Here is a 24,022-nt window from a genome sequence, read left to right as displayed (position 1 = left end):
AACATGATGAAACGCCATCTCTACTAAAAATATAAAAATTAGCCAGGCATGGTGGCGGGTGCCTGTAATCTCAGCTACTCGGCCAACATGACGAAACCCCATCTCTACTAAAAATATAAAAATTAGCCAGGCATGGTGGCGGGTGCCTGTAATCTCAGCTACTCGGGAGGCTGAGGCAGGAGAATCACTTGAACCCAGGAGGCGGAGGTTGCAGTGAGCTGAGATTGTGCCACTACACTCCAGCCTGGGCAACAGAGCAAGACTGTCTCAAAACAAACAAACAAACAAACATAAAGACTGATATATAAAAGACTGTTAAATTGAACAAGCTGAAAACCATTAAAACCACTAAATACAATGGCTTTGAAAATTCTCAGCCCTTTCAGATGACAAATGCTGATAAATTTTAGAAAGAGCTTGCAAGCAAAAATCAAACTGGGACACTGCAAGGAAGACATTATGCTTCACACCAAAGACCCACTAAAGATTTAAAGGGTTTGAGTCACAGATTTATTCATTTAAACAATAGAACTTTTAAGAAGTGGAGGACATTGTCCATCCAAAGAAATTTATAGTTTTTAAATTAAAAAGAAAAAAGGCTTCTCTTGAAGAGATCTATGCCTTTTTATCTACTGGAGTAAACTCCAGTAGGATTCACAGAAGACTTATGAAATTTTTAAAAGAATGATATCAGGCCAGGTGTGGTGGCTCATGCCTACAATTCCAGCACTTTGGGAGGCTGAGGTAGGTGGATCACTTGAGCCCAGGAGTTCAAGACCAGCCTGGGCAACATGGCAAAACCCTGTCTCTACCAAAAATACAAAAAAAAAAAAAAAAAAAAAAAAAAAAAAAAAACTAGCCAGGCATGGTGGCCTGTGTCTATAGTCCCAACTACTTGAGAGGCTGAGGTGTGACTATCACTTAAACCCAGAGGTCAAGGTCAAGGCTGCAGTAAGCCATGATCACACCAATGCACTCCAGCCTGGATGACATAGCAAGACACTGGCTCAAAAAAAAAAAGGCCAGCCATGGTGGCTTACATCTGTAATCCCAGCACTTTGGGAAGCTGAGGCGAGCGGATCACGAGGTCAAGAGATTGAGACCATCCTGGCCAACATGATGAAACCCCATCTCTAGTAAAAATACAAAGATTAGTTGGGCATGGTGGCATGCGCCTGTAGTCCCAGCTACTCAGCAGGCTGAGGCAGGAGAATCACTTGAACCCGGGAGGCAGAGGTTGCAGTGAGCTGAGATCATGCCATTGCACTCCAGCCTGGCGACAGAGCAAGACTCAGTCTCAAAAAAAAAAAAGATATTGATATCAGCAGAAACACCCCCAGCTTTGAGAGGCACAGAGAAAAGGACAAAATGAAAAGAGGCTGTTGAACCCCAAAATGTATATAGATAAGAAACAGGTTGAGAAAACTACTCAGCCACAAACACATGATGTTTTCTTGAAAAAAGGATGACTCAGAGAGAATCAAGAGTCCAGAAAGCAGAGCCAGGAGTGAATAGAATAACTGCTACTCAGGAGTGTGACTGAGACCCAATCAAGGAGCTTCTGAGTTTGCCCAACTGGATTTCAGACCTGCTAGTGATCGTTGTGTGCTTCCCACTCTGCCCATCTTTGGGCAGGAATATCAATAGTGGTTATCCAATGTCTAGCTAAGCCTGTATGTTGAGTGTGGGGGACAAATAACTTGTCTTTGCAGCCCACAGGTGTATGGATAGAAAGAAATGGTACTCAAGGAACTGTCCATATGGAATTACACCTGACAAGCCTCATCTGCACCCAGGCCTGAATATATGACAATAATCTAGACCTCAGGTTTATGCTCTAATGGGATGAGACTTTTGGGGAACTTATGAGGAGTTAAGAGTATTTTGCCTATGGAAGGGATATAAATCATAAGAACCCAAAAGATGGACTGTGATCACCAACCTCCAAGGTGGCACCTATAATTTACACCCTCAGATAGTCTTCTTCTATCTTGTACCAGAATTGGTCTACGTGACCAAAAGAATAGAGTGGAAGTCGTGTTCTATCACTGTGGCTTCTGTCTTGTCCTCACTCTTGGGTCACTCATTCTGGAGGAAGCCAACTGCCATGTCATGAGCAGCTCTATGAAAAGGCCCACAGGGTGGAAAACTGAAGCCCCCAGCCAACAGCCACGTGCATGAGCTCAGGGGTGGACTCACCAGCCCAGCCAAGTTTTCAGACGACGGCAGCCCCAGCCTACATCTTGACTGAACCCACACAAGCAACAGAGCCAAAATCACCCAGTGAAGTTGCGCCTGGATTCCTGACCCTCAGAAAGTATATGAATAATAAATATCTGTTTATTAAACTGATAAGTTTTGGGGTAATTTGTTACATAGAAATAGATAACAAATACAGATAACTAATACGGAAAAATGTTAAAGTGTGGCATTAATATGGTTAAAAACAACAAATGTCTATGTGGTTAAAAGTACATATATTTATTATCTTAAGATGATTTTTAATAACAGACCTGGAGTGTGATAATTAAGACTTGTTTGCCGCATGTCACACTATATATGATATACAGAAAATGTTTTCAAGAGTCAAGGTGTCATCCCTGGAGAAAGGAACACAAACCTATAACCTATTAGTGGTCAGGGAGGTAAATCTTTTGCTTTTCACAGCATGCCAAGAATGTCTTTTGAGTGATCTCCTTTTGATACATGTTTGGTGCCAGAACAGCTCTGTAACTGGGGGAAATGCTAGAGGTTATTGTTTTGCATGCTCCCACCTGGGAGTAAGGCGGGGAGTGGATTTTAATCCACTTCAAAGAGCCTAAAAAGGCATAGGATTCAGTGAAAACTGAGATGGGCCTTCGAGTGACCATAGCTCAACTCCTGGATCCCCAACTTAGGAAAGAGTTTTCAAGCCCAGTACAACAGCCAGGGTGGAGACCGGGACGGCAGAGACAGAGGGCTGGAAGAACCTAAAAAGAGTGAATTCTGTGAACCAAAGTTTCCACGATATTGAGGATAACTGAGGCATCTTCCTCGCCTCTGACTGTGACAAAACAAGCTGGAACTGACTGGAACTAAATAAAGCGACAGGAAAGGGAGGACGTTCTTGTCAGCAATCCTCCGTTTCAGCGGGTTGTTTTGACTACAGAGTGAGTAGCACTCATCATACCGAGAATTGACAAGAACTAATCTTCTTCATGGTCAAAATACATCTCCTTGGCTTCTTGTATTTCAGAAATCGTCGTCTCCTGCCTCATTCTGACCACATTAGAACCTGGGGTCGTTGGACCACATTTTTTTTTTTTTTTTGACCCTACCCAGCAGCAGTTTAGATGTCTTTTTCATTACTCTCTTTTTCTTTTCAATGTTACTTTAGTGCCAGTGCAGGGAGCCAGATGGAAACTAAAGCCCTCTGTTTATGACTGAACAGGTACACCACAAACAGCAGTGCAAATGTTCCACCCCACTGCCTCCCACACACCCAGACTGCCCCAAGCCCCACCTGGAAGGACCAGCTTCTAGCAGGGGGATGATGGTTCCATTTCTATGCTTATTGAACCTGGTAATATTTGCTTAAGAACATTTGAATAGAGGCCCCTCAGAAAATTCACATTTCCATATTTACTGGGGGATTTTTGTTTATTACAAATGAGGTTAAGAAACCATTCTGTATACTTGCTAAGTGAAAAGAAGCAGGCTACTAAAGAACATGCCAGTAATCTTAATTTAATAAGCATTTTTTTAGCATTGACTATACCTCAGGACCTGTGCCGGGCACATAAGGTGAGTATAGATGAGGCTATGCGAGGAGTGTTATAATCCCCATCTTTCAGTTGAGAGAAGGAGGAGCAAAGAGGTAAAATAACTAGCCTAATAGAAGATGATTACTTCTGGGAAGTAGGGGAGGGGTGCAGCGGGCAGCAGCTTGTACCTTTTTATACTGTTAGAATTTATCATAAGCATATATTATTTTGATGCATTTGACAAGATGTGACAAGGAAATAATTGCATCTTTTTAAGAAAATCATTTGCTTAAAGTCACAGAGCTAGTAAGTGACCCAGTCAAACTCCAGAACCTGGTTTATGGGGCTCCCCAGTGTAGGAGCTTCCTCACTCTGCTATGACCTTATTGTTGGAAAATGGATTTTATAACCATTGGCCAACACGTGCATAGCAGTTACCTCTGTGAGGCAGTCTAGGGACACTATGGTAGCAGAGTGACTACATAAACTATCCTTCAAACTGGGACACTCTTGAGAGCGAAAGGGGGCACTACTTGGACTGAGACTGTCCTAGGAGCACTAGGATGTATAGCCTGATTGTGAGTGACTGTTTTCATTATGCCATGTACAGACAGTCCCCAACTTAGGATGGTTCGACTTATGATTTTTCATCTTTACAATGGTATGAAAGCCATACACATTCAGTAGAAACCCTATTTCAAGTGCTGTATTTTGATCTTTTCCAAGTTTAGTGATATGTGGTACCACACTCTCTCACGATGCTGGGCAGGCGCAGTGAGCCACAGCTCCCAGTCAGCCACACGACCACGAAGATCAAAAACTGAGTCTCTGCAGGGCACTGTGTTGCCAGCATTTTTTGGATACCATGTTTTGTGTTTTCACATGCCATCTTGTCCACAAAATGGCCATCTATGTCTCCTGCTTCTGGTACAGAATTTAATAAATTACATGAGATATTCCACACTTTATTATAAAATAGGCTTTGTGTTAGATGATTTTGCCCAACTGTAGGCTAATGTAAGTGTTCTGGGCATATTTAATGTAAGTGTTCCAGGCTAAGCTATGATGCTCAGTAGGTGAGGTGTGTTAAATGTATTTTTGATTTACAATATTTTCAACTTATGATGGGCTTATTGGGACGTAACCTTGTTGTAACTTGAAGAGCATCTGTATATCAAATATTCTGCCTTAAGCATGTATTATTTAATAAGTAGAGGGACAGTATTGTGTACCTTTAAAAAAAAAAGAAGAAACCAGTAATTCTAACTCTTGTGAGTCTGTATTCTTTTCATTCAAATCATAAAGCTAAATTCACATAAATCAAATTATTTACCACCATAGTCATATAGTGCTAACAGCCATAAATGTGGCAATCACTGTGATTGAAATGCTAATGTTTCATAAGAGTGGGTGGAAACCACTCTTTCAGTTACCCCTCACCAGGAGCAGGGGAGCAACCCTCAGTTCATGGCTTTCGCAGTACAGGTGGCAAACCCAGAGGTTATGTAACCCTCCCCAGAGGTTACCCTGCAAGTTAGTCAGCTTCCACTCCACCTATTGCCGACTTCCGCTGTTCCACCAAGCTGAAAGACAGTTTCCAGTTCTCTGCGGCTATTCATAACTTTCTCCAAAAAAATGAAAGCCAGCTTCGGAAGAACGTATGTGTTACCTTGGCCACATCGTGAACCAATACACAAACACCATTTACATCCAGGCAAGACTATCAGTAAATAATGTAACCTGACTCAAAACAGAACATGAACATTTCTCAGTAGGGGCAGCCTCGTCTGGACCAGTTCAGATGACTAAGGAACCTCAGGAAGTGGAACCATGAATCAGAAAGAGACCTCCTTTCCTCTGACTCAATGCTGAGCTCATGAGCCCAGGTGGTGTTGGAGGATACTGTGTTGCTGGAGGTGCTGAACGCCTCACAAATATACAGAAACTAAGGAAAAACTTATGACTTTTGCCTCTACTCCGTAAACCAGGCTCTGTGATCACATGGTATTAATTACTTTTCGTATATTATTTAATCTCATGATAGTATGTGTTCCAAGTTATCGCCCCATTTTAAAAGTAAAGAAACTGAGGCTCAGAGGGCTTCCCAAAGCCCCACAACCAAGTTTGTTCATTGCCAGTGCTTTTCCATTATATTACACTGCCTCTCAAGGGAAAGCAATAAGAATTTAAACAGTGTAGAACATTCTCTGAGCCTCCTCCTAGTCATCATTTTTACTATGGTCTTTGTCACTTCAATTTAGATAAGCTCTTATCAGTAGTAACAGACCTTTTAAATACTTATTTCATTTCTTCCATTCTATTCACAAACTTGAGAAAGTATTTACTACATAATTTTGAATATAGTTATAATAATTAGAGTATTAGCTATTTTTCTCCCACATACAGAGAGGTCTAACATGTATTAAGGAATTAAGAAGAGAGTGAAGAGTGTGCTTTTTCAGGAGTGCATTAACTCCAGCCTCAAAAGCAGTGCATGAGCAGCCCATGTGTCTCTGGGTGCACTGAACCCCCCAAAAGGAATGAGAGCCGCAGATGACCACACGTGGCCCCTGTGGTTAGGTAGGCTGAAATCTGGCGGACTCCTCAAACGCGGTTTGGAGCCTCTCAACTTAGACGCAATGCTTGCAATTTGGATTTTTACCACTAGGTGGATGGTAGTGCTTTGTATATTAATGGTTTTGCTGAATCCTAGTAAGCTTTCCCCAGCAACTGATAAACATTTACATTTATAAAGTAAGTTCCACCAGCTTTAATTAAAGACTATAAACTCCACTGAAAAACAAGACTTTACAACTCAAACAGGATGAGAGAACAATAAAATCGTGGTATAAAAATTTAGTTTGTAATACACAATCTCAATTATACTGTTTTGTAAAAATAACTGCTTTCTTTCTTTATAAAAAATTAGAATTAACAAATCTGATTTTGGATGAAGAGTGCTTTTTCATATTGCTATAATTCACTGCCTTTCTCCCTAAAATTCAGTTACTGCTGATAATTGCTAAACCTAATGCTGGTTTTACTTTTTCTATTTTTAAAAGGGAAATTTAACTTTTTTTCCTGTGTTCCTTTTGTTTTGTTTTGTTTTTCCAGTGGTCAGGAGAGTCTCAGGCTGCAAATGTGACTGAGGCGAGAAGCAGTGACAGCCTCTCATGCTGCAGCTATTCCATAACCTGCGCACTTCTGGAAAGATGGTACTTACAGTCCTTCCTCCAGCTGGTATGGCTATTGTGTGGTAAAAGACATGGGTGGTTCTTGATTTGTTCCACTTCCTGGTGACTATCTCCGTGCCTGTCCTTTTCCAATTGTGAACAATTTATTTCTCCAAGGAACACCTTTCTATTCTAATTCCTCGACCTTTGAATCCTAGAAGCAGCATAAAACTATAATAATAAATATAAGTAACACATTGTACTTAAACCCATCGCAGCACTAGGCATTTTATATATATTCACTCATTTTAAGCAACAGCACACCAAATATTTAAGATTATCTATAAAACATCCTAAATAGCTTCATACCTCCTTTTTTTTTTTTTTTTTTTTGAGACAGAGTCTCGCTCTGTCACCCAGGCTGGAGTGCAGTGGCACGATCTCGCCTCACCACAACCTCCGTCTCCCATGTTCAAGCAATTCTCCTGCCTCAGCCTCCCAAGTAGCTGATTACAGGTACGCGCCATCACACCCGGCTAATTTTTGTATTTTTAGTAGAGATGGGGTTTCACCATGTTGGCCAGGCTGGTCTCAAACTCCTGACCTCAAGTGATCTGCCCACTGACAGCAGCAGCACCGTCATCTCAGACAAACACCACCACTTTAAGTTCCAGCTCCCTTTCTAGCCTCATGCATTTCAAGGAAATCACTTCTCTTCTAACTATAAGCAGCCAGAAATAGCAGAGAGTAAAACACAGATAAGACAGCTCAGGCATAAAGGGAGGTGGGGGAAAAGTTCCTTGGGTAACTGCCAATCTTCACCCTCATGCAATGGGCCCCAGTAAAACAGTGGGCCTTAATAAGCACATTCCTTTCCCTTCAGGTGCGCTAAAATAGGGAAGCTAAAAGCAGACTCGGGGGTATGCCTGCAGCTGCAAAAAGATGCATGGGAACAGACACACAACTCTCCCTCTCAGATAAGCACAACAAAGAGTCACAGAAGCAGTCCAAGCCTCTGATAAACTCTCATACCCTAAATCCTTAACAACTTTTAGTGTATAAGAGAGTGTGGCTCTGACCTAACTCGGCCAGAAGTCCCTCTCAGATTTGTTTCCTAAAATAAACCTGTCCTTGTGAACTGGCAAGCCACCCTTCACGTTTCTCTCCTCTTTCTTTAATTCTTACACCCGCCTCAGCCTCCCAAAGTGCTGGGATTACAGGCATGAGCCACAGTGCCCGGCCATACCTCCTTTTTAAATGTTTTTTGCAAAGCATCTATTGAAGAATGCCATTTTTAAGCAGAGATAGTTCATATGTTCACACATATACATTAATATGAATAAATACATCATCACATATACATACTTCTCACCTCTTCTTGGTATATTATTTTCCCAGGTGGTTTGTGGCTCTCTGAATGGTAATCTTCCCTCTTAACGCTGCCTGTCATTCCTCCACTATACCTTGCTACTCAAGAGCATGGCTCTGTGACCAGCAGTAACTGCATTAACTAGGAGCTTGTTAGAAAAGAGGAACCATGGGCTCTCTCCTGACCGACTGAATGAAAATCTGCAGGTGACAAGATGCCCAGGTGAACTGCATTCAGTTACCATCTGAGATGTGCTGCCCTTCCCAACACATCTGATTGGGAAGATGATCACATCATTAAGGAGTTAGGCATTAGGAGCAACTGCAGTGGCAAGGCCAGAAAAAGTTGATAAGTAACACAGGAGTGCCAACCGAGCATTCCAAAAAGGGCCACTAATTAAATGTTCATAGTACACAAAAGAATTATACTTCTCCATGGTGAGTAGTAAGTAATTAAGGTAGGGCCATTCTTTTTTGATGTTGGGGGTAAATATCCTTGCCCTGATGCAAAGGAAAACCTAGCACTAATATCAGAAAACAAGAAGTATTTTCCTAAAATATTTGATCCTATGGACAAAATACTGCACGTTAGCAATCCACCTCTTTTCAAACATGCCTACTCAAAGTTAGTCAATTGTCTCCCCTTTTCAGGTTAATTCATAACCGTAAGAAACATGGCTGTGCTTTGGTCAAGGATAGGCTGAGGTAAACATCCTGAGTGACTCAGCGAGTTTACAGCACAGGCGTATAACTCCACTTGTTATCACAGCCATGTAGCCATGAGATGGGAAGGCCATTCCTTGGCCCTAAGCCGCTATTGTCTGTAAAAGGTATAATTGCCTTGTTGACACTGTGCAGGCATGCTGGCACCAGAGACAGTGTCAAAGCTGTTCGTCTTTGGAGATGGACAGAGGAGAGCCAGGACACAGCTTGGCTCACTTGTGCCCAGAGAGAGAGAGTTAAGCTGCTGACCCTGAAGGCAAGGGAGAGCCAGCTGCACAGCTGCATGTGGGAGCTGGACTAAGCAGCTGAGACAGGCAGACAGTGTGAGAAAGCGTTGATGAGAGCTGCTGCTGAATAAAACCATCTTTCACCTGCCTACGGCCCCCAGGTGTTCTTCCTGCTCATCCACTCACTCCCTCCAGACTGCAGCATGGGCTGGTACCTGACCCTGAACATAATTGGTGTAGTCGGGAACCTGACAATAACTAAATGAAGCAGGACATATTCATAAATGGTCACGTATCCAGAATAGCATGTGTTTCTGTGAAGGTCTTCCCCTCACACCCGATGCTTTCTTCTACAACTGTAAAAATGCTTCAGCAAACTCAGCAATGTTCTTTAATATTTGAGATAGTTAATTAAAATTGAGGAGTCCTGAAATGCCTAGTTAATTAAAATTGAGGAGTCCTGAAATGCCTTCTTTAGATGCCAAGAAGCAATGAGTGTTTTTAGCAACTGTTGAACTATGTGTTTGTGAAATTTAGACTCAGAGGAGGTGATTTGCAAGAGGTTACAGCTGCTGCCACCCTGGCTGCTGTTGCCCTGTCTCCCGGGTTGCTGCCAAGTTGGGGCTGGTGGTTTTGAACTTTAGGAGAGGGAGAGAATTCACTGGCAATAGGAGGATGAGAGAGGAGTGAAGTGCGTGGGAATTGCGTGGCCTCTCCTCTACACTATGGATAGTAATTTGGGGTTCTTGAATACCTATTCCAGATCGTGCCTTCCTGGAATCCCTGTTTGATGCTCTAGCTTAACATTTAAAAGCAAATGTAAGAAAGTTCATCACAGCCAAGCATGGTGGCTCATACCTATAATCCCACACTTTGGAAGGCTGAGGTGGGAGGATCACTTAAGGCCAGGAGTTCGAAACCAGCCTGAGCAACATAGCAAGACACTCCCACCAACCCCGATCTCTACAAAAAATTTAAAAATTAGCCAAGCATAGTAGTACACACCTATAGTCCCACCTACTTAAGAGGATGAGGTAGGAAGATCGCTTGAGCCTGGAAGTTCTAGGCTGCAGTGAGCTATGATTGTACCACTACATTCCAGCCTGGGTGACAGAGCGAGACAAAAGGAAGGGAGGGAAGAAGAAGGAGGGGAGGGCAGGGAAGGGGAGAGGAGAGGAGGGGAGGGGAGGAGAGGGGAGGGGAGGAGAGCAGAGGGGAGGGGAGGGGAGGCAGCTGATTTCAAGTCTATACTCCAGGTCTGACTGAGCATCAAACACAGGCTTCAATCTCTTTTTTTGGACAAGCCACATGCGTATTATGTCATACCCCCAAATTCATGCAGCAAATCACATACATCATCTTTTCCCCAAAACCTAGTTTCCACTGAGTGACATCTTCATCCTGCAAGTCACTCAGAGTTAAAATCTCAGATAAAAAATTTCAGAACCATCTTTAAGAACTTTTCAACCCCAGACCCGCCCCAACCAATCATCAGGGCCTATCGGTTTCGTCCAACTGTCTCTCTCTGAAATCTTTCTCAGTGGTTTACTGGTCAAATGGTTTCCCATAAAATGAATTTCTTTAAAGCTTTCATTTGCAGTGTTTGCCAATTTCTGTGGTGTAAATATTTCCACTATGGCCAATTTCAAGCTACCAAAGGTTTAACATCCAGCTCCTAAAATACTTAAAAATTTAACAATATGTTCGTGAGAGCCAGGGCTCCTTTCTAATTCTACTGCTGCCTCCTTACTTCAGTCACTTTTTATTTCCTGAACTATTTAGAAGCTGCCCACTTCTGGCCCCATTACATCTATGAATAAAATACTTTATTTGTTGTTTATAAAACAAATGCCAAGAACCTCATCTAGTGTGCAAAGCCTCGCACAGTAGGGTCTAATTTGCCTTTTTCATCTCATCTCCTCTACACTCCCCACCCACCACCTCCTCCTCCACACTCACATACATACACACACACGACTCTTATGCCCCAGCCCCAGAGAGACACTTAGCATTCTCTCAGCAATGCACAGGGCAGTTCAGTTCAAAAGACTTTTAACAAATACCTACTAATACAGTTTGGATATTTGCCCCACCCAAATCTCATGTTGAAATCTAATCCCCAAAATTGGAGGTGGGGCCTGGTGGGAGGTGACTGGATCATGGAGGTGGATTTCTCATAGATAATTTAGCACCGCTCCTCTGATGCTGTCCTTGCAATGGTAAGTTCTCACCAGATCTGGTTGTTTAAAAGTGTGCGGCACCTCCCCCACCTTTATGTTCCTGCTTTTGCCATGTGATGTGCCAGCTCCCACTTCACCTTCCACCATGACTGGAAACTCCCAGAGGCCTCCCCAGAAGCAGATGCCGCTATGCTTCCTGTATAGCCTGCAGGAACATGAGCCAATGAAACCTCCTTTCTTAGCCAGGTATGGTGGCTCACACCTGTAACCCTAGCAATCTGGGAGGCCAAGGGAAGCAGATTGCTTGAGCTCAGGAGTTCAAGACCAGCCTGGGAAACATGGCAAAACCTCATCTCTACAAAAAATATTTACAAAATAATTAGCCAGGCTTGGTGGCTCACACCTGTGGTCCCAGCTACTCAGGAGGCTGAGGTAGGAGGATCACTTGAGCATGGGCAGAGGTTGCAGTGAGCCAAGATCGTGCCACTGCACTCCAACCTGGGCGACAGCCCTGTCTCCAAAAAGAAGAAAAAAACAACAACCTCTTTTTTTTATAAATTACGTGGCCTCAGGTATTTCTTTATAGCAATGCAACAACAGCCTAATATACCTACCATGTGCCAAATATTGTGCTAGGCTAAATAAGACATGGTCCCTGCCCTTCAGGAACATAGAATCCCATGTACTTTCATTCTCTGTGGTTATGTTTACACTATTACTTCAGTCAGAAACTCCCATCTCTGCCTTTATTCATTCAAAAAGCATTTACTGAGTGCCTACGAGGTGCCAGACTTTGTGCTAGGTTCTGGAAAGACAAAAATGAAAAAGACACAGTGTCTACCTCTGCCTACTAAGCCAGACAGTAGTGGGTGATGTGCAGGTGTAGGGAGGGAACTCCAGCTCTCTTGTCCTGTTGGGATCAAGGAAGACTTTGCTGAGAAAATAGTGCTGTAATTGAAGATGAGTACAGAATTTGTTGCTGAAGGAAGACAAAGGTCAGATCATAAAGGGCTCTGTAAATGTCATGTTTCCTAGTTGATACTCCTTATTACAGAATCTACCTTGATTAAACAAGGGAAAAACTGATTATGAAGATACAGATGCCTCTGATGCAATCTGGTGAAAAACTGAACAGCCAGGTCCCAGGAAGAGCTGGAACTTAGCTCCAGGACCTCAGTTACACAAGTTTACAAGCTTTTACTTCAAAGCTCTGAATTAACGTGACTGAGCCCCCAAGAGCCTGTTCTCGTGTCTCTCAGTTTAAATGCAAAAGAGAATCTGATTGGCCCAGCTTTGGTAAAGAATGCATCCTGCTTCAATCAGCTACAGCCAGGGCAGGATCACATGCAAAAAATGATCACTCAGAGAATAGAGATCCCAGGCTCAGCAGATCACCTCAAAATTGTCTCCTCTTGTCAGAAATATAATTCCCCAAGCCTGGGGACAGAAAAATGACAGCCAATTTTATTCATTAGGAATGCTTTTGACTGCAAATGATACAAACCTTGTTATAATGGCTTAAGCACAGAAAAATTAATTATTCTCATACGCCAGGAAATCCAGCTGTAGGGATTACAAGTGTTCATTCAGCAGAACTCCAGTCCTAACACTGATATCTCTGTGATTCTTTTGACTTCTCATAATCATGTGCTATTGTAGTTTCAGTTATGACTTACACATTCAAAGCTTTAAAAAGAAGAAAGAAAGGTACGAACTGTGTTTCTTCCCTTTGATCAGGAGAGCCCAAAAGATTTCCTAGAAACCTCCCAGGATACTTCTGCTTAGTTATCATTGCCACACCTAGGTCACATGACCACACCTCACAAGGGGGATTGGGGAAACAGGAAATGAAGTCTCATAGTTGGCTGAGATTAATCATGAACATGAGAAAAATAATTGAGGTTTGTGAGTGTCCAGCAGCAGACAACTGGATAAAATAAACACAGTATATATACACAATGGAATCCTATTTAGTCATGAAAAAGGAGATCCTGTCTTCCTTCTCTATGCGGATGAGCCTGGAGGACATCGTGTCAAGTGAAACAAGTCAGGCACAGAAAGATACCACCCATTCTCATTCCTATATGGAAGCTAAAAAAGTTGATCCCATAAAAATAGAGAGTAGAATTGTGGTTACCGGAGGCTGGAAAGGGTAAGAGGGAAAGGAGAATAAAGAGAGGTTGGTTAAAGGATAGAAAATGACAGCTGGATGGGAGGAATAAGTTCTGGTATTTTATGCACTGAAGGATGACTATAGTTAACAATAACTTGTTGTATGTTTTCAAATAACTAGAAGAAAGGATTTTGAATGTCTCCAACACAAAGAAATGAGAAATGTTTAAGGGGATGAATATGCTGATTACCCTGATTTGATCATTACACATTGTATACATGCATTGAAATATCACTCTGTATCCCATAAATATGTAATAATATAATTATTATGTGTCAATTAAAAATAATTTTATATATATACATAAATTACAGTCTGTGTGGCAGACAGACTCTAGGTGACTCCCAATGATGGTATTTATACCCTTGTATAATTTATTTCCATTGAATGTGAGTGGGACCTGTGATTTTCTTCTAGCCAATAGAAATGACAAAAGTGATGGGGCATCACTTCTGATTACGTTGCATTATATAAGATTCTGTCTGGCTAAGATTCATGCTAGAGACTCTCTCCATAGCTGACTATGTTGGGAGCCCCATGTGGCAAGGGGCCGAGGATGGCCTCTCACAGCTAAGGCAACAGGAAGCTGGGATTTTCAGTCCTATGACCATAAGGAAATAAATTCTGCCGACAACCTGCCTGACCTTAGAAGTAGGTTCTTCCTCAGTCAGGCCTCTAGATAAGAATGTAGCCCAGGGGCCAGGCACAGTGGCTCATGCCTGTAATCCCAGCACTTTGGGAGGCTGAGGCAGGTTGATCACTTGAGGTTAGGAGTTCGAGACCAGCCTGGCCAATATGGTGAGACCCCATCTTTACTAAAAATACAAAAATTAGCCAGGCGTGGTGGCACGCACCTATAATCCCAGCTACTCGGGAGGCTGAGGCAGGAGAATTGCTTGAATCCGAGAGCAGAGGTTGCAGTGAGCCGAGATTGCGCCACTGCACTTCAGACTGGGTGACAGAGCAAGACTCCGTCTCAAAAAAAAAAAAAAGTTCCAAGAACTTGAGCATGGCCACAGATGCCTGCATGGAGGTCAGGCTCACCAAACTCTGTTTCCTTCCAATTTAACGTTTGAGGGTTTTACTGCATTGATGAGTCAAAGACTGCAAGGTGTATACTCTAATTTCCGTTTTTCCTTTTTTCCTTAGTAATAGATCCTGTATCTGTTTTCATCCGCAGTGTAACAATTTATCACAAACTTAGCACTTTAATACAATACCTATTAGTTAATGCACAGTTCTGTAGGCCAGAAGTCTGGCATGGCATGACTGAGTTCTCTGCTTGGAGCATCTCAAGGCTAAAATCAAGATGTTGGCCATCCTGAGTTCTTGTCTGCAGACTTCAGAGAAAAATCCACTTTTACATTTAGCGTTTTTGTCATTGTCAAGATTTGGTTCCCTGTGGTTGTTAAACTGAGACTCTCGTTTCCTTGCTGGCTGTCGGTGGGGTCATTCTCAGCTCCTGGAGGTACCCACACTCCTTGCCACATGGCCCCTCCGCCTTCAAGCCAGCAATGGCACGTCCAATCATTCTCATGCTCCTAATCTCTGACTTCCTCCATCTCTGACTCTAGATCTAGATTTAAGGGGCTTTTTTTTGAAGGTCAAGCCTACCTAGATAATCTCCGTATCTTAAGATCAACTGATCTGATATATAACATAATCACAGGAGTGACATTTTGTCATATTCACAAGTTCTGCCTCCTACTCAAGAGAAGGAGATTATACAAAGTAAAGATCACCGGGGATATTGTAGAGCTCTGTCTACCACAGACCCCTAGCTTTTAGCTTGACATGTGGATCCCCTAATAAAGATGGCATTTCCCAGCCTCCCTTATAGCTAAGCAAAGCCGTGTAGCTAAGTATTTGCCACAGAAATGCTGTATACCAGCTTCCAAGAGATCTGAAAATACCGCTGGTGTTCAATATTTGTCTCCTTATATTTCGATTCCTTCTTGCCATCTGGGATGTGTCATTTAATGGCTGGAACTCTAGCATCAACTCTAAACTGTGAAATGACAGTAAGAATGACAGTCACATATTAGGATGGTGGGGCAGTAGAATAGAAAGAGCTTGGGGTTCCTAAACCCCATTAGAGAGCTAGACCCAGTGGTGGGCTGGTAAGTGGTAAACAACCAGCTCTCTGGAGGGCGAAGCCCTGATTTGCAGCATGTGCCAATGTCAGTGACGTAAAATCCTCCACAATGGCCAATTTCTTTTTTCCTTTTTTTATTCCTTCTTTCTTTTTTTTTTTTTTTGTTTTTTTTGTTTTTTTTTTTTAGAGATGAAGTCTCACTATATTTCCCAGGCTGGTCTCAAACTCCTGGGCTCAAACGATCCTCCTGCTTTGGCCTCCCAAAGTGCTGGGATTACAAGCATGAGCCACTGCACCCAGCCACACCAATTTCAAGTTACCAGTGTGACATCATTGAACATAGGACTGAGAGGAGGTGCAAATAACCCATTCTCTCAAGTTGGAATAAGCCAGCTGCAGCCACCACTGGCTGTCCTGGCTCTGCACTGCTTATCCTCCAAGCTGCTTTGTCCTCAGAGAAAAATTAACTTCTATCTTATATAACATACTGTTATTTTAGGGTATCTGGCACATGCAGACAAACCTGATTCTATGGTAATGTTCTCCAGTCTTCTCTTTCAGCATTGAAATTTTCTTCACTGGGGGTTTTCTGGGTGCTGAATGCATTTGGATCTAGGCAGGACAGTGGGTATGTGGTGCCAGGTTTTACTCTACACAGCACTCACAGCAGCTGCCGTTTCATTTCAGCCTTCTGCTAGTAAGATTGACCCTGCTCCTTATACAGTAGAGCCCGAATAACTTTACAAACTTCAGAAGGAAATAGAAGGGCAATTGTGCCAGAAAGACAATAACCACCATGCTTTACAGAGACCTTTGAGCAGGCACCATGATGGAAAATATTTTGAAGCGATGCAACAAATCCAGGAGTATGAGACATTAAAACCCCACTTCATTTTACAAAGCTGCCTCTGAAGATCGGTGAAGCTTGAGACCCACAACAGAGCAGAAAAGACTTCAGAACAAATAAACATCAGCACTGCTAGAAAACACCTACTCACCTCTCTGAAAACTGAGCTGGGAAAACAAACAGTCTTTCTTTACATTTTAGTGGCTCCGAATCACCCTGCATGAATCTGCTGCAGTGGAGGGTCTGGCCGTTTTCCCACCAGCCCGGAGGCACAGAGAGCCAGAATACAGCATTCCCTCTCCATCACAGGCATTCACACCAGCAGTGCTGGCTACACTGTGACAGGACAGCTTGGTGGCCACACCCAAATCCAGAATCCAACAATGGCACCAACAATCCTAGGAAATACACAACCTTCCATTTAACTGCTTCAGATCTCTTCCTTCCAAGCATCTCTTCCAAAGAAAATGCGATCTGGAAGTCCTCCCGTACTTCTCTGTGTATGAGTTTGTTTTGTTGTTGTTGTTTGTTTGTTTGTTTGAGATGGAGTTTTGCTCCTGTCGCCCAGGCTGGAGTGCAGTGGTGCGATCTCAGCTCACTGCAACCTCTGCCTCCCAGGTTCAAGCGACTCTCCTGCCTCAGCCTTCTGAGTAGCTGGGATTATAGGAGCCCACCACCACGCCTGGCTAGTTTTTGTATTTTTAGTAGAGACAGAGTTTCACCACGTTGGCCGGGCTGGTCTCAAACTCCTAACCTCAGGTGATCCATCTACCTCGGCCTCCCAAAATGCTGGGATTACAGGTGTGTGCCACCACGTCCGGCTGAGTTGCTGGTTTGTTTTTTTTTTAATAATAGCAATGACTACTTGTGACCCGCCTGCACTCCCTCACCAAAGCCCCTTCTGCAGACATGCCAGATAATGAGGAAGGGGAGCAAGTCACTAAATAACTGGATTTCTTTCAGGGGCACCTTCTGTGAGGTTATGACCTTGATGACCTAGGAGTAGTGATCACAAGAAATATATGCAGCTATCACATATGGAACATCTAGCGCATGTGAGATCCGGTGGGAAGTGTTTACAGACATTTTCTCTGGTAATCCTCACAAGAAACCAATAAGGAAGCTGGCATTATTACCAGCATACCACAAATGAAGAAACTGAGGTCTGTAGGGTTAAATGCAGGTCACTAGCTAGTGAGAATAAAACTGGTATTTTCATCCAGGCCGTTTGACTCCAGAACTCTCAGAAAGGGATATCTGGGGATAGCATTCTGGATCATTCCAGAACAATGCTAAGCATAGGACAAGGGCGTGCATGTCTAGGATGGACTGAGTGCAGGGCCATATCCTCAAGGCACACAGGTGAAGCACTGTAATACTTTTGGAGGTCCATAAAAATGTTTTCATTGTAATTTATTTTAAAACCAGAAGAAACAGCTGGGTGTAGGGGCTCATACCTGTAATCCCAGCACCATTTTGGGAGGCCAAGGTGGGAGGATTGCTTGAGTCTAGGAGTTTGAGAACAGCCTGGGCGACACAGTGAGAGCACCACCATCTCTACAAAAAATCAAAAGTTAGCCAGGTGTGTTGGCACAGGCCTGAAGTCCCAGCTATTTGGGAGGCTGAGGCGGGAGGATAGCTTGAGTTGAGGAGGTCCAGGCTGCAGTGAGCCATGATCATGTCATTACACTCCAGCCTGGGCAACAGAGCGAGACCCTGTCTCTAAAAATATAAAAAAGAAGAAAAACATGAGTATAACAATAATGAATGGGTAATAATGAGTCCAGCCTGGATTATACTGGTCATTATACAGAGTCGTAAAATATGATTTTTAATCTTGTTTTACCAAGGAAGGGACCCATGAAGGCAAAAATGCCGAGGGCCCACAAAAGTCATGAGATGGCTGGAATCCGGGGTAATGTAGATGGCATTGCTGTGGGCAATAACTAGATGGGAAAAAATGTAGAATGTTCTCTCACAATTAGGCTGCCTTGGTTAAAATAAAACGTGTTCCAAATCAATGCCTCAGAAGGATTATGGAGTTGCCACAGTTTGGGCTGTGAAATAGTCCGTGAAGATAATAATAAACAGTGCTAATGAATGTTCCCCATCTGTTCTTTCTCCCCTTAATGGCTATCAGATAAGAGAACGGAATAAATCAGCAGCCTTTGTACGCTGTCTAATATGCCATAATGTGAGCCCTGGCCTTGGGTCTGTTTGTGTTATTTTCTTAAAATAGTCACAGAGAAGGCCCCTGGAGAGTTCCTTTTTCCCATGACCTGCCCAGACCAGAAGGCTTAGGATGACTCTGGTCCTCAGAAACAAAAGCCAAAGAAAAAAAAAAGCCAAGAAACCAGGCATGGTGGCTCACGCCTGTAATAACAACATTTTGGGAGGCCGAGTTGGGGGGAATCACTTGAGGCCAGGCAGCCTGGCCAACAAGGTGAAACGCCATCTCTACTAAAGATACAAAAATTAGCAGGGCGTGGTGGCATGCACCTGTAGTCCCAGCTACTCAGGAGGCTGAGGCAGGAAAATCGCTTGAACCTGGGAGGCAGAGGCTTCAGTGAGCCAAGAAGGTGCCACTACATGGGCAACAGAGTCTTTCTCTGTCTCAAAGAAGAAAAAAGAAACCTAAGACAAAGGAATCAGGTGATTCCCGGGATTAGAACAACACTGTCTTGACTCTACCACTGAACACTTGGCTTTGCTCTGAAGAATCCCCCTCCCTCAATGGGTACGGTCTCGGTGAGACTTCCCAAGGGGCCCCATCCCATCCCCAGCCTAGGGCTGGACATGTGACCCCAGCAGGACAATCAGGGTGCTCACTCCTTCCATTTCCATTCAGGGCTCATGGCACGAGACCTAAAGTGGGTTGGAGTTTCTGTCCCATTGGTGGAGCCCCGAAGAGATTGTCCTTGAGTTCCCAACTGCCAGAGCTGCCATCGTTTCTGTTTCTTTCATGTCCTATTAAAGATTGAGTTAAATCCTATCTTTTTAGTAACTTTTCTTTCCTTCCCTTCCTTCCCTCTTTCCTTCCTTCCTTCTTTCCTTCCTTCCTTCTTTCCTTCCTTCCTTCCTTTCCTTCTTTCTTTCTTTTTTCTTTCTTTCTTTCTTTCTTTCTTTCCTTCTTTCTTTCCTTCTTTCTTTCTTTCTTTCTTTCTTTCTTTCTTTCTTTCTTTCTTTCTTTCTTTCTTTCATCAGCTAGAGTCAGTGTCTGTTGGTTTTTTAAAAAATCCTGACTGGTGGGTACCTTCCAGGTACTGGAAGGTGACAGAAATTAGCCTCCATGGGACACTGAACACTGACAGCACTGAATTCATAGACATTATTTAACATCTGTACCTGCTAACTCATGCACTCAGCTAAGAAAGGTACCGTGTTTTTTCATTAAAAGTTGAAATCAAGGTAAGGCTAACGGTCTACGGCCATACCACCCTGAACATGCCCGATCTCATCAAACTATGGCTAACGGTATAGGATTTACCTATCCTGTTCTTTCAGACTTGTAATTATTAAAATGACATTATTAGGCATTAAAATGACACGCATCATGGGGATGTGGGGAGGTGGGGAAGGTAGGCAACTCAAAGCAAACTTCATTTCAGGCAGTGCGCCCCTTCTCAATGAATGGCATGTGAAGCAAACAGCACATTTTAAAAGGTTTTTGAGATAAGATTTAGTACCTGTTTTGAGCTGAACGGTGCCCCCTACCTCCTTAAAAAAAAAAATCAGCGTATCTTTTTTTTTTTTTTAAGGAGGCAGGGGGCAGAGGTTGCAGTGAGTTGAGATCAGGCTACTGCACTTCTGCCTGGGAGACAAAGCAAGACTCTGTCTCAAATAAATAAACAAAACCAACAGACAAACATATACATACACACCAGATTGTATAAGAAAAGTCACCACCAGCCACAGACCACTTGTTATTACAGTGCCTCTTTCTAGATCTCTTGCCTCTGACTTCTTGTCTTCCTACCCAGCAGCACCTCGAAATCCACCAGGGCTGAAAGTAGCCTGAGCAGCGGAATCTCTGCCCCTAGACTTCCTCAGGAAACCCTTCACAGGCCCACATGGGGGTCAGACCACACTTTCTGACAACAACATCGCCTACCTTTTCTACATCTCTTTCCGCTGGCATTCAGATTCTGAATAACTGTGTATTTGTGCCATTCAATTCAGATTTTAGAAAAAAAAAAAAACAGTTCTACGAGTGACAATAATATCACTCAAGCCCTAATATTGATTCTAGTGATGAGAAAATAATGAAGCGACGGGGCTCCATTCCCATTTGCCTGCGGGGCCCCCTGAACTCCTAGGCGTTTGCCTCACTACTGTCTGTGGGCAAACTTCCTTTCCAGCCACAGCCAGAATTCGAAACTTCTCCCATCTGCGTGACGCATTATGTACGTTGGTAGAAGAGAAAAGTACACTGTTTTCCTAATAACCGTTGTTCCTCAAGAAAACACTTTTTTCCTATAAGGAAATTTTAGGGCTACATAAACCAGAAACCTATATATTTTCAGAAAACCCAAGGAGGCTTCAAAACCTTTCCAATTTAACAAATACTTCCAGAATCTGCTGTGTTACATGGCTCTGGTGTATGTCCTGACATAGAGTGATAAAAAGATTAATGAAACACTCTATCATCAAGGAAACTACAGTCTAGAAGAGGAATAAGACAAGCACATAAGAACTGTTCTATGAGACAAATATGTGTGCCCTGAGAGAGAGATAGCTGAAGCTGTATCCAGGAACAAGTATTTTCAGAAGGCTTATCTTCCATAACACTGTAAACCAACCAGCTAGCTCACTTACCAAGACTAACAGCTTCCCCATCAAGGCTAGCTTAGGGGATGTGAGGGTGATCTGCCTGTGACAACTCTCACCCCACTGATCGCCAGGGTTGATTCGACTGATCTGGCTGGCTAGATGGGTGACCCCTTCCTCCCTCACTGCTCCATGTGCGTCCCTCCCGAAACTCCACGCTCAGTCGAAGAGGACAACCATCCCCAATAGAGGAGGACCAGTCTTGGGTCAAGGGTGTATGAGTAGCTGCGCTCCCCTGCTGGAACCTCCAAACAAGCTCCCAAGATTAGCTTTGGGACTCTCACTGCATTGTGCCCACAAAGTCCTATGCCCAAAGTTCTTGTATCAGAAACTCTGCCCAGTGTTGAGACCTACTTCAAAATCACCCAGCCCAGGCCCCAAAACCTGACATTCCCCTTCTGAGGCACTACTAATTCTTTTTCAAGGTGGTGTCCTCCCTGACCACAGTAAGCATAACAAACTTGGCTTTGCTTGACCAACAGGTTATCTAGCTGTTCCTTTTGCAAGTCAAGAGTCAACACCCCTTTCTTCTAGTAAGCAGACCCCTATTATCTGAGATGACTTCATTCCACGTGGTTGAACTGGAGATTCTCCTCCATGCCCCTGGCCACAGTGGTTACCTCAGAAATGGACACATTACCTGGGCTGGTTCAAACAAGTCTTAATAAAGCGTTTGGTACTTAGGATGGGATGTTGCAAATATCTAAAGCTGAAATATGGAGCCAGCTAAAGCAAGGGAAGGGATGGGGTAGATAGAATCTTCTCATCCCTGACCTTATGTGGAAAGCAAACAACTAATTATGCTGCTGTCTCTTGGGCCTCAGACCACTCAAGTTGGCTCCTTTAGGAGAAGTGAAAGACTTGTACCAGGATCTGGAATTTGTTAGCTACGTCTTAATGGCTTTGCTAAGATATTTTAGGAAAGGCATAAGCTTCCAGCCAAGCTGGCCCATTTGAAGGTATAAAGGAAACAGCTTTGGTAATAATAACAACAGCTCACATTCATTGTGTGTTATGTGCCAGATGCCATTCTGAACACATCACATGAATTTTCTCATACAATTTTTTGCAACAGTTTCACAGGGTGGATACTATTGTTATCCCTACTTTACAGATAAAGAAACTGAGGCCTGGGGAGACAAAGTAGCCTAACCAAAGCTACAGCTAGAAAGTAGCAGAATTGCCAGGCGCAGTGGCTCACGCCTGTAATCCCAGCACTTTGGGAGGCCAAGGCGGGTGGATCACGAGGTCAGGAGTTTCAGACTAGCCAGTTCGAGATCAGCCTGGCCAACATGGTGAAACCCCATCTCTACTAAAAATACAAAAATTAGATGGGCGTGGTGGCACACGCCTGTAATCCTAGCTACTTGGAAGGCTGAGGCAGGAGAATCACTTGAACCCAGGAGGCGGAGGTTGCAGTGAACTGAGATCGCACCACTGCACCCCAGCCTGGGCAACAGAGCAAGACTCCGTCTCGGGAAAAAAAAAGAAAGAAAAAAGAAAGACAGTAGCAGAATTAGGAAGCAAAGTCTTGCTCTAGAGTCCATGCCTTTCACCCTTTTGCCTACAGGCAGCAGACTGCAGAGGATCAAACATGTGCCTGGCAGAACTATAGGAGCCAGGTTCTCTGCCTTAGTTAAAGGGGCATGAACAGCCAGAAATATAGTAAGATCGGGCTCCCGGAGGAGGCAAACTAATAGAGTGGGGGCCCTGGCGCAGTGGTTCACATCTGTAAATCGCAGCACTTTGGGAGGCCGAGGTGGGAGAATCGTTTTCTGAGACCAACCTAAGCAACATAGCGGGACCGCATCTCTATAAAAATTTTTTTTAAAAAAATTTTTAATTAGCTGGGTGTGGTGGCACATGCCTGTGGTCCCAGCTACTCAGGAGGCTGAGGTGGGAAGATCACTTGAGCCCAGGTGGCCGAGGATGCAGTGAGCTGAGATCGTGCCACTGCACTCCAGCCTGGGTGACAGAGCAAGACCCTGTCTCCAAAAATAGAGAAGGAGGAGGAGGAAAAGGAGGAGAAGGAGAAAAAGAGGAAGAAGAAGAAGAGGAAATAGGGTGGGTATTTTATTCCCCAAACACCTCCTGCCACACAGAGGTAATCATTTCTACTAATGCTGCAGTCCCTGGGATGTAGTCTGGGAACGGCAGACCCCTATGGTTTCAGATTATCCCAAAGCTAAGAGAGAGATTGACGCCATCAAACTGAAGGTGGAGGCATGGGCAGGAAGCCTGTGGCTAAGAGACAGACATCATAAAGATGGGCTCTAAGTTAAAGAAACTGGGCTCCTCTAAATCTGGGCCTTTATCCTATGGAGTTGCCGGAGATCAGATTTACCAGCATCTGAGTTTTTATTTATTTATTTTTTTAATAGAGACAGGGTCTCATTGTATTGCCCAGGCTGTCCTTGAACTCCTGGGCTCAAGCAATCCTTCCACCTCAGCCTCCCAAAGTGCTGGGATTATAGGTGTGAGCCACCGTGCCCAGCCTCAAATGGGTTTTTAAAGTTTTATTGCCAAGGAAATGTTGATGGCCTACAAACAGGAGCCTAGGATCCCTGGCCTCAACAGAAGTGTTCAGGTGCCCCTCCACACACCTCCTGTAACCATGCCCACAGGAAGAGGCTGCCACTTCACCCCCAGGCAGGTCAGCCATGGAA

The 24,022-nt window shown here is 43.7% G+C and overlaps 1 long non-coding RNA gene and 1 pseudogene across 1 annotated transcript, besides 6 other annotated features; both read left to right on the top strand.

Annotated features, from left to right (window-relative positions):
• Positions 2,891-3,000: an enhancer, noted in NCBI's record as "active region_6152". NCBI's record gives its function as "activates an Ori minimal core promoter by ATAC-STARR-seq in GM12878 lymphoblastoid cells {active_cell/tissue: GM12878}" and the evidence as "EXISTENCE:reporter gene assay evidence [ECO:0000049][PMID:35858748]".
• Positions 3,665-16,456, top strand: LOC105369709 (uncharacterized). Its single transcript, XR_931459.3, has 3 exons — positions 3,665-3,783; positions 6,858-6,983; positions 16,370-16,456. It is a non-coding gene; the product is annotated as an uncharacterized LOC105369709 (long non-coding RNA).
• Positions 4,994-6,193: an enhancer, noted in NCBI's record as "CDK7 strongly-dependent group 2 enhancer chr12:27974511-27975710 (GRCh37/hg19 assembly coordinates)". NCBI's record gives its function as "activates an origin of replication core promoter dependent on BRD2, BRD4, P300/CBP, MED14 and CDK7 cofactors, with strong dependence on CDK7, by STARR-seq in HCT116 cells {active_cell/tissue: HCT116}" and the evidence as "EXISTENCE:reporter gene assay evidence [ECO:0000049][PMID:35650434]".
• Positions 5,295-5,454: an enhancer, noted in NCBI's record as "active region_6151". NCBI's record gives its function as "activates an Ori minimal core promoter by ATAC-STARR-seq in GM12878 lymphoblastoid cells {active_cell/tissue: GM12878}" and the evidence as "EXISTENCE:reporter gene assay evidence [ECO:0000049][PMID:35858748]".
• Positions 5,475-5,544: an enhancer, noted in NCBI's record as "active region_6150". NCBI's record gives its function as "activates an Ori minimal core promoter by ATAC-STARR-seq in GM12878 lymphoblastoid cells {active_cell/tissue: GM12878}" and the evidence as "EXISTENCE:reporter gene assay evidence [ECO:0000049][PMID:35858748]".
• Positions 20,147-20,316: an enhancer, noted in NCBI's record as "experimental_27159 CRE fragment used in MPRA reporter constructs". NCBI's record gives its function as "activates a minimal promoter by MPRAs in K562 erythroleukemia cells, with activity observed for both the introgressed and non-introgressed 12:27960473 variant alleles {active_cell/tissue: K562}" and the evidence as "EXISTENCE:reporter gene assay evidence [ECO:0000049][PMID:34662402]".
• RN7SKP15 (RN7SK pseudogene 15) lies at positions 21,381-21,689 on the top strand (annotated as a pseudogene).
• Positions 22,687-22,856: an enhancer, noted in NCBI's record as "experimental_27127 CRE fragment used in MPRA reporter constructs". NCBI's record gives its function as "activates a minimal promoter by MPRAs in K562 erythroleukemia cells, with activity observed for both the introgressed and non-introgressed 12:27957933 variant alleles {active_cell/tissue: K562}" and the evidence as "EXISTENCE:reporter gene assay evidence [ECO:0000049][PMID:34662402]".

The sequence above is a fragment of the Homo sapiens genome, chromosome 12 (assembly GCF_000001405.40).
Source record: "Homo sapiens chromosome 12, GRCh38.p14 Primary Assembly".
Classification (NCBI taxonomy): Eukaryota; Metazoa; Chordata; class Mammalia; order Primates; family Hominidae; genus Homo; species Homo sapiens.
This window is presented reverse-complemented; position numbering and strand designations above follow the sequence as displayed.